At 50.6% G+C, this 9,858-nt stretch overlaps 1 non-coding gene across 1 annotated transcript, besides 2 other annotated features; it reads right to left on the bottom strand.

Moving 5' to 3' along the window:
* Positions 724-843: an enhancer, noted in NCBI's record as "active region_14849". NCBI's record gives its function as "activates an Ori minimal core promoter by ATAC-STARR-seq in GM12878 lymphoblastoid cells {active_cell/tissue: GM12878}" and the evidence as "EXISTENCE:reporter gene assay evidence [ECO:0000049][PMID:35858748]".
* Positions 1,014-1,073: an enhancer, noted in NCBI's record as "active region_14850". NCBI's record gives its function as "activates an Ori minimal core promoter by ATAC-STARR-seq in GM12878 lymphoblastoid cells {active_cell/tissue: GM12878}" and the evidence as "EXISTENCE:reporter gene assay evidence [ECO:0000049][PMID:35858748]".
* Positions 9,739-9,858, bottom strand: SNAR-E (small NF90 (ILF3) associated RNA E). The gene has a single exon (NR_024258.1). It is a non-coding gene; the product is annotated as a small NF90 (ILF3) associated RNA E (small nuclear RNA).

The following is a 9,858-nucleotide window of genomic DNA, read 5'->3' on the forward strand; positions in this document are numbered from 1 at the left end:
AGGAAGTGTCCTGCTGTGCTGTATTAATTAAAGTGGATGTTGTCAGCCGAGTTGGAGACATCCCGGGGGAGGAAAGGCCGGGCTGACCCTGGTTAACTTCAGGCAGGTGTCAGGCATGCAGCGAATGTCATCTTCCGCCTCTCATTCTCCCTCTGGGCTGGGCCTGCCTCTTCTTTCCCCAGCTAGCAAATAAATCATCTCTCCCATCTCCACCTGGAATTCATTCTCACTCATGTTTAATGAGGCTACCACACCCTTCTGCCAGGTGTGTCTTCACCCAGGTCGCTGATAACTACAAATAGGTTATATTTCAACTCTTTTGAGTATGCTGTGAGGTAGAGATCCAATTTCCTGCTGCGTGTGCAGAACAGAAGACAACTGTCTCAAACAAAAAGAAAAACCAAAACAATTATTTTAGGCCTGGCGCAGTGGCTCACACCTGTAATCCCAGCACTTTGGGAGGCTGAGGCAGGAGGCCGAGCTGGAGCTCAGTAGTTCGAGACCAGCCTGCGCAACATAGGGAGACCCCTGTCTCTGCTAAAAATTTTAAAAATCAGCCTAGCGTGGTGGTGCACGCCTGTAGTCCCAGCTACTAGTGAGACTGAGGCAGGAGTGATGGCAGTGGCTGCTGTCATTACACCGGCTGCAGCAGGGAGGTGCGGCTGGGGCTACACACTCCATGGAGCCGGTGGAAGCCCTGCCCCTTCTGAGCTGTGGTGGGAGTTCCCCAGATGCCACTGCAGCCGCCCAAACCGCCACTGTGGATTGAGCCTTCCTGTGCTCTTGCAGGGGCCAGAAGTAGGTAGGGTCTGCCCTCCCGGGTGCAGCTGCAGCTGCCCCCATGGCTGCCAACCTAGGCCTCCAGCTCCACAGAGTGAGCAAGAGCCGGGGACAAGTGGGAGCCCCACCCCTTCCGAGTTGGCAGGGCAGGAGCTCCCCGGATGCAGCTGTGGCCGCCCTCTGAGGCTGAGGACCTGGGCCTCTCTGCAGCCTGCACTCTCAGAGGCCGGGAAGGCCCCCCCAATCTCTGCAGACTGCTGGGTGTCTTCTCCTGCTGCCTGGCCTCTCTTCTCTCCCAGCGCCAGCTCTGATCTGGGATCGGGGTTGGGGTCCAGTCCTGGGGCCATGAATGGCAGCAGGAGGCAGACGGATTCCTGGGCAGAAGTTGGTGGGGGGTCCCTAGTAAGGCCCCACCTTCTTGCCAGGGAGGGCCTGAAGGCTGGGGGCCAGGCTGCCAACCCCACAGACAAGAGTGGGGACTTGTACCTCCTCTGGGCCCACGCATGGCAGCCCATGGACCAACCAGCACGTACTTCCTCCTCTCTGAGGTCCATAAAAGCCCCAGGCTCCACCAGAGCAGGGCAGAGGGCAGAGGACAGAGAGACAATGGGATTACCACCTGCACAGAGGAGCTACCCTCTCTACTGAGAGCTTCAGAGACCTGCAGAGACGCCTACATGACCTGCCTGCCGAGAGGAACCACCCTCTTCAGGGCCTCATCTCTGCTGAGAGCTGAACACTCGATGGGGTGACCTGCCTACTGAGAGGAGCTGCCCACTGACGGTCTCCTCTGAGCTGTTCTAAGACTAAATAAAGCTCCTATTCATCTTCTTCACCCTTCACTTGTCTGTGTACCTCATTCTTCCTGGACACAGGACAAGAACTTGGGCAAAGGCACTGCAGCCACAGAGGTTTCTGGCCAGAAAAGCAACACCCCAAAGATCCCGTAACAGGAGGATCACTTGAGCCCAGGAGGCGGAGGCTGCAGTGAGCTGAGATTGCACCACTGCACTCCAGCCTGAGTGACAGAGCAAGGCCCCAACTAAAAAACAAAAAACAAAAAAAGCCCAGATATTTTATAATAAAAAAAAAATTTTATGGCTGGCCACGGTGGCTCACGCTTGTAATCCCAGCACTTTGGGAGGCCAAAGTGGGCAGATCACTTGAGGTCAGGAGTTTGAGACCAGCCTCACCAACACGGTGAAACCCCATCTTTACTAAAAATACAAAAATTAGCCAGGCATAGTGGCACACGCCTGTAATCCCAGCTACTGGGGAGGCTGAGGCACGAGAATTACTTGAACCTGGGAGGCAGAGGTTGCAGTGAGCTGAGATCGTGCCACTGCACTCCAGCCTAGGCAACAGAGTGAGACTCTGTCTCAAAAAAATAAAATAAAATAAAATAAAAAATAAAGTGAATGGGAAGACACAGAGTCTAGCACTCTAGAAATCTGGGTTCCAGTCTCATCTGCTCATTGTGTGTCCTTGGGCAAATGATCTTCCTTATCTACAAAGAGGAGATAATACTCAGAATTGCAATGCTAATACCAAGAGCCACTTCACAGCGTCATTACAAGATTAAATGGGATTATGCCTTTAAAGCCTTGGAAGCTGCTGGGCCTAGAGCAGGAGCTCCCCCTAACAGTTCAGAAGCTTCCTTGAGGCTGGGCTCGGTGGCTTACACCTGTAATTCCAGCACTTTCGGAGGCAGAGGTGAGCAGATCACTTGAGCCCAAGAGGTTGAGACCAGCCGGGGCAACATGATGAAACCGCCATTTCTTTTTTTTTTTTTTTTTTTGAGACTGTGTCTCGTTCTGTTGCCCAGGCTGGAGTGCAGTGGCGCGATCTTGGCTCACTGCAAGCTCTGCCTCCTGGGTTCACACCATTCTCCTGCCTCAGCCTCCCAAGTAGCTGGGACTACAGGCGCCCGCCACCACGCCTGGCTAATTTTTTTTTTTTTTTTGTATTTTTAGTAGAGACGGGGTTTCACCTTGTTAGCCAGGATGGTCTCGATCTCCTGACCTCATGATCTGCCCACCTCGGCCTCCCAGTGTACTGGGATTACAGGCGTGAGCCACCGCGCCCGGCCTTGAAACCACCATTTCTACAAAAAACACAAAAAATTAGCCAGACTTGGTGGCATACACCTGTAATCCCAGCTACCCAGGAGACTGAGGTGGGAGAATCACCCAAGCCTGGGAATTCAAGGCTGAAATGAGCCATGATAGTGCCACTGCAGTCCAGCCTGGGCAACAGAGTGAGACCCTGTCTCAAAAAACAAATAAAACCGCCAGGCACGGTGGCTCACACCTGTAATCCCAGCACTTTGGGAGGCCGAGGTGGGCGGATCACGAGGTCAGGAGATGGAGACCATCCTGGCCAACATGGTGAAACCCCATCTCTACTAAAAATTCAAAGAATTAGCTGGGCATGGTGGCACGTGCCTGTAATCCCAGCTACTCAGGAGGCTGAGTTAGTAGAATTCCTTGAACCAGGGAGTCAGCGGTTGCAGTGAGCCAAGATGGCGTCACTGCACTCCAGCCTGGCGACAGAGAAAGACTCTGTCTCAAAAAAAAAAGAAAAAAGAAAGAAAAAGAAACACCGTCTCTAAAAATACAAAAATTGGCCAGGCATGGTGGTGGGCACCTGTAATCCCAGCTACTTGGGAGGCTGAGGCAGGAGAATTGCTTGAACCTGGGAGGTGGAGGTTGCATTGAGCCGAGATCGCGCCATTGCACTCCAGCCTGGGAGACAGAGTGAGAGTCTGTCTCAAAAAGAAACAAAAACAAAAACAAGAAGCTTCCTTGTTTGGTGGCTTTCTCAGGTTCCTCTTCGACTTTCTGTTCTCTAAACCCTGGAGCCCCTCAAAAGCCCAGAACTGACTCTGGCCTGTGCTTTAGTGCAGTTGCACCAGGGTTGCAAACACATGGCCTGAGGGCTCCATCCAGCCACCACATTTCGTTTGCCACCCCAGAGTATTTTTAAGTTTTTTGGTTTGTTTTTTTTTTGAGATGGAGTCTCGCTCTTGTCACGCAGGCTGGAGTGCAGTGGCACGATCTCAGCTCACTGCGGCCTCTGCTTCAGCCTCCCAAGTAGCTGAGATTACAGGCGTGCACCACCATGCCCGGCTAACTTTTTTATTTTTAGTAGAGATGGGGTTTCACCATGCTGGCCAGGCTGACCTCAGATGATCCGCCTGCCTCGGCCCCCCAAAGTGCTTGGATTACAGGCATGAGCTACCACGTCTGGCCCCCATGTCTTAAAAGAAAATAAAAGACAGGTGATCTCCACTCCACAGGCTCCACCACCCGCGTGGTCTTAAGGGCACCAACTTGAGTGGCTGTCACTCTCAGCTGACTGAGACTTACTCTTGCTTCCCATTTCACTGAGAAGAAGGAAGTCATTGGAGTAGGGACTTTTGGGAACTCCCCACACCAACACCACCACCACCTGCCTTGGCGCCCACGCACCCCTTCCTCCCAGATGCCTCTCGTGTGCTTGGATAATCCCAGCTGCGCCTTCCATCCCTCTCCCATCTCTTTCCTGCATCTTCCGGTTTCCCCTTGTCTGTTGCATCATCCCCATCAGCATAAAACTGATGATTTGAGCTGAGCGCGGTGGCTCACACTTGTAATCACAGCACTTTGGGAGGCTGAGGCGGGCGGATCACTTGAGGTCAGGAGTTTGAGACCAGCCTGACGAACATGGCGAAACCCAGTCTCCACTAAAAATACAAAAAATTAGCGGGGTATGGTGGCGGGCGCCTGTGGTCCCAGCTAGTTGGGAGGCTGAGGCAGGAGAATCGCTGGAGCCCAGGAGGCAAAGGTTGCGGTGAGCCGAGATCGCACAACTGCACTCCAGCCTGGGCATCTGTCTCAAAACAAAACAAAACAAAACAAAACAAAAACCTGCTGTGATATCATCCACTCCACCAAACACCCTCCAATCTCATTCCCCCCTCTAGCGACTATTTCTCTTCTCCCTTTATAGCAAAACTTCCTCTAAGGTTTTTTTTTTGTTTTTTTTTTTTTTATTCAACATTATCATCAGACACTTATATTTAGCCATCAACAGCATGGGTGCAAAACAAAAATCTACATTAAAACCCTTTGTTGGAATGCTTTGCACTTTCCACAGAAGAGAAACTGAAATAACCTGTTATACGATTAGTCACAAATACAGTCCTGGAGTTTTTTGTTTTTGTTTTTTGTCCATATACATGAGTATTGTCTCCAATACATCTTCCACTGGGTATGGTGGCTCATGCCTGCAATCCCAGCACTTTGGAAGGCTAAGGCGGGAGGATTGCTTAAGCCAGGGAGTTTGAGATCAGCCTAGGCAACATAGTGGAACTTCGTCTTTAAAAAATATTAAAAAATCAGGAGCCGAGGGTGGTGGCTCACGCCTGTAATCCCAGCACCTTGGGAGGCTGAGGTGGGTGGATGATTTGAAGTCAGGAGTTCAAGACCAGCCTGACCAACATAGTGAAACCCCATCTCGACTAAAAATATTTTAAAAATAGCCGGATGTGGTGGTTCACGCCTGTAATCCCAGGTACTCGGGAGGCTGAGGCAGGAGACTCCCATGAACTAAGGAGGCAGAGCTTGCAGTGAGCTCCAGCCTGGGCGATGGAGGGAGACTGTGTCTCAAAAAAAAAAAAAAAAAATAGGCAGGCATGGCGGCACGCACCTGTGGTCCCAGCTACTCGGGAAGCTGGGGTGAGAGGATTGCTTGAGCCCAGGGGTTGAGACTGCAGTGAGCTGTGATCATGCCACTGCACTCCAGCCTTGTCAACAGAGTGAGAGCCTGTCTCAAATCAAACACGGCCGGGCGCGGTGGCGCATGCCTGTAATCCCAGCACTTTGGGAGGCCGAGGCAGGCGGATCACAAGGTTGGGAGATCAAGACCATCCTGGCTAACACGGTGAAACCCCGTCTCTACTAAAAAATATTAAAAAAAATTAGCCGGGCGTGGTGGCTGGCACCTGTAAATCTCAGCTACTCAGGAGGCTGAGGCAGGAGAATGGCGTGAACCCGGGAGGTGGAGCTTGCAGTGAGCCGAGATCGCGCCACTGCACTCCAGCCTGGGCGACAGAGCGAGACTCCGTCTCAAAAAAAGCAAACAAACACAAAAAACACACCTTCTTCATAACAGACAGGCCCTGCCACCCCTGTGCCTGGCTGAGTTCACAAGTCTGTTTGTAACCTGAGCTTCCCTGTCATTTCCCTGGCTCTGTCTGCTGGCTAAGCTTCATTTCCCCAAAGTAACTAAAGCTTTCTGCCACCGCCCTGGCCACCAGGGCTGCTGGAACTGCCATAGCCATCTTGGTTTCATGTTTTGGCAAAATATTGGCCTCCATCACCATAGGGGCCAGGGCTTCTGCCTCCAAATCCTCCTCCCTTCATGGATCCAAAATTCGAAGACTGATTGCTGTTATGGCCAAGATTACTACAGCTTTTGCCACCTCCAAAACTACTTCCATCATTACTGTGATGGGGTTTTGTTTGTTTGTTTGTATTTGTTTTTTTGTTTTTTTGTTTTTGTTTTTGACAGAGTCTTGCTGTGTCGCCCAGGCTGGAGTGCAGTGGCACGATCTCGGCTCACTGCAACCTCCACCTATGGGTTCACACCATTCTCCTGCCTCAGCCTCCCAAGTAGGTGGGACTACAGGTGCCCACCACCACATCTGGCTAACTTTTGTATTTTGTATCTCTTCCTGAAACACCTGTGCAGACACAAACAGAAATAATGTTTTACCAGCTATGTGGGCACCCCTTAACCCAATCAAGTTGACACATACAATAAACCATCACTGCTGGGTGCAGCGGCCCACGTCTGTCATCTCAGCACTTTGGGAGGCCGAGCCACGTGGATCACCTGAGGTCAGGAGTTTGAGGCCAATCTGGCCAATATGGCGAAACCCTGTCCCTACTAATAATACAAAAATTAGCCAAGCGTGGTGGCAGGCGCTTGTAGTCCCAGCTACTCGGGAGGCTGAGGCAGGAGGGTTGCTTGAACCTGGGAGGCAGAGGTTGCAGTGAGCCGAGATCACGCCATTGCACTCTAGCCTGGGCGACACAGCAAGACTCTGTCACAAACAAAGAAACAGACAATTAGCCAGGCGTGGTGGCGCATGCCTGTAATCCCAGCTACTTGGGAGGCTGAGGCAGAAGAGTCGATTGAACCCGGGAGGGAGAGGTTGCAGTGAGCCGAGATCACGCCATTGCACTCCAGCCTGGGCGACACAGCAAGACTCTGTCACAAACAAAGAAACACAATTAGCCGGGCGTGGTGGCCCATGCCTGTAATCCCAGCTACTTGGGAGGCTGAGGCAGAAGAATCGCTTGAACCCGGGAGGCGGAGGTTGCAGTGAGCCGAGATCGTGCCATTGCACTCCAGCCTGGGTAACAAAAACAAAACTCCATCTCAAAAAAAAAAAAGAAGAAGAAGAGGAAGAAGGCCAGGCGCAGGGGCTTGCACCTGTAATCCCAGCACTTTGGGAGGCTGAGGCGGGCAGACCACTTGAGCTCAGGAGTTCGAGACCATCCTGGCCAACATGGTGAAACCCTGTCTCTGCTAAAAGTACAAAAAAAATTAACTGGGTGTGGTGGCACATGCCTGTGGTCCCAGCTACTTGTGAGGCTGAGGCAGGAGAATCGCTTGCACTGAGGAGGCAGAGGTTGCAGTGAGCCGAGATCACGCTACTGCACTCCAGCCTGGCCACAGAGCAAGGCTCTGTCTCAAAAAAAGAAATAATAATCTTTTGGATGTTGTTCTTCAGTGTCCTCTAATGCCATCAACAAAGATACTTTTATATATATACACACATATAGATATGTATATATATATATGTATAGCATAGTTATCAAATTTAGGAGATTAAATACTGATGTATTACATTTTATTTAATATGAAATCTATGATAAGAGGAAGAAATCATACACACAGTTGACAGTTCAGATTTATAAAAAGCATAAAATTAGCATAGATAAATTATTGATGACTAATGACACTAGCTATAAGTTTCTACTGTAGAATACGTCACACCGTGAATGTGGGTCATTTTTTCCGCCACTAGACTGAGTCATTGAGCACAGAAGATACATCAATTTTATGTGTTAGCAACATGTACAATTCTTTTTTTTTCTTTATTTCTTCTAAAAAAAAAACAGGATACATGTACAGAACGTGCAGGTTTGTCACGTAGGTATATGTGTGCCATGGTGGTTTGCTGCACCTGTTGGCCTGTCCTCAAAGTTCCCTCCACTCACCCGATCCTTTTTTCTTTTTTTTTTTTTTTTTTTGAGATAGGGTCTCGCTCTGTCTCCCAGGCTAGAGTGCAGTGGTGTGATCACAGCTCACTGCAGCCTCGCGTCCAACTCTTGGGCTCAAATGATCCTCCCACCTCAGCCTCCCAAGTAGCTGGGATTACAGGCAGGAGCCACCATGCTTGGCTAGTTGAATTTAATTTTTATTTATTTATTTATTTATTTTTTTCATAGAGACAGGGCCTTGCTATTTTACTCACGCTGGTCTCAAACTCCTCGGCTCAAATGATCCTCCTGCCTCAGCCTCCCAAATCTGGGATTAGACGTGAGCCACTATGCCCAGCCCAGAGCATTTTTATCACCCAAAAATGAAACTCCACAAACATTAAGTAAACACTCCCTGCTCTCCTCTTCCCCCAGCCTCGGGCAACCACTAATCTACCATCTGTCTCTGTGCTGTACATTTCATGTGAATGGAATTCTGTGCTAGGTGGCCTCTTGTGTCTGGCTTCTTTCACTCAGCATCACATCTTCGAGGTTCACTCATGTTGTAGCATGCGTCAGTGCTGCATTTTTTTCTTTCTTCTTTTTTTTTTTTTTTTTTTTTTGAGATGGAGTCTCGCTCTGTCACCCAGGCTGGAGTGCAGTGGCACGATCTCAGCTCACTGCAACCTCCACCTCCCGGGTTCAAACGATTCTCCTGCTTCAGCCTCCTGAGTACCTGGGACTACAGGCACGTGCCACCACGCCCGGCTAATTTTTTTTGTATTTTTAGTAGAGATGCGGTTTCACCATATTGTCCAGGCTGGTCCCGAACTCCTGACCTAGTGATCCGCCTGCCTCGGCCTCCCAAAGTGCTGGGATTACAGGTGTGAGCCACCGCGCCTGGCTGAGTTCTGTACTTTTAAGCTTTTCTCTTGACATAAAATTCAGACGCGAAATGCAGTTTCCGTGCAGTGAGGCACACAAACACCTTTGCTGTGGATTCCCCATTTCGCACATGGGAACAGATGCATTTTCCCAGGCAATTAAATACCAAGGACTTCCTGAAGGCACTGAGTGTCCAGGCCACCGAGTTTGTCCTTGAGTAGCTGTAAACACCCTCACCCCCGGGTATCCAGGAATCTGCCCGATGCCCTGGTGGCCAGCTCCAGGCATTAACAGCTTCCTCCCCATTTCCAGCAGTTTCCTTCAGTTACTGAGTGGAAAGTTACTGAGTCAGAGGCTGCGGAGATGAGGTTCCTTGGCAGATGGCTTTCATTTTTACCTCTCCCTACCTCCCTGTCGTCCACACAGCCCCAACACACACACACACACACACACACACACACACACACACACACACACTTACACACACACAGACCTGTTTTCTTTTTCTTTTTTTTTTTTTTTGAGACGGAGTCTCGCTCTTTCGCCCAGGCTGGACTGCAGTGGCGCTGTCTTGGCTCACTGCAAGCTCCGCCTCCCGGGTTCACGCCATTCTCCTGCCTCAGCCTCCCGAGTTGCTGGGACTACAGGCGCCCGCCACTACGCCCGGCTAATTTTTTTTGTATTTTTAGTAGAGACGGGGTTTCACCGTGTTAGCCAGGATGGTCTCGATCTCCTGACCTCGTGATCCGCCCGCCTCAGCCTCCCAAAGTGCTGGGATTACAGGCGTGAGCCACCGCGCCCGGCCTTTTTTTTTTTTTTTAATTTTTTTTTTTTTTTCAACCCATGTGGACCAGGTTGGCCTCGAACTCGTGCCCTCGAACCCTCGCCTCCCTGAGGGTCCGAGGGCCCGCGCAACCGGCTGGAGCCACAATGGCTCCAC

Source organism: Homo sapiens, chromosome 19, assembly GCF_000001405.40.
Source record: "Homo sapiens chromosome 19, GRCh38.p14 Primary Assembly".
Lineage (NCBI taxonomy): Eukaryota > Metazoa > Chordata > Mammalia > Primates > Hominidae > Homo > Homo sapiens.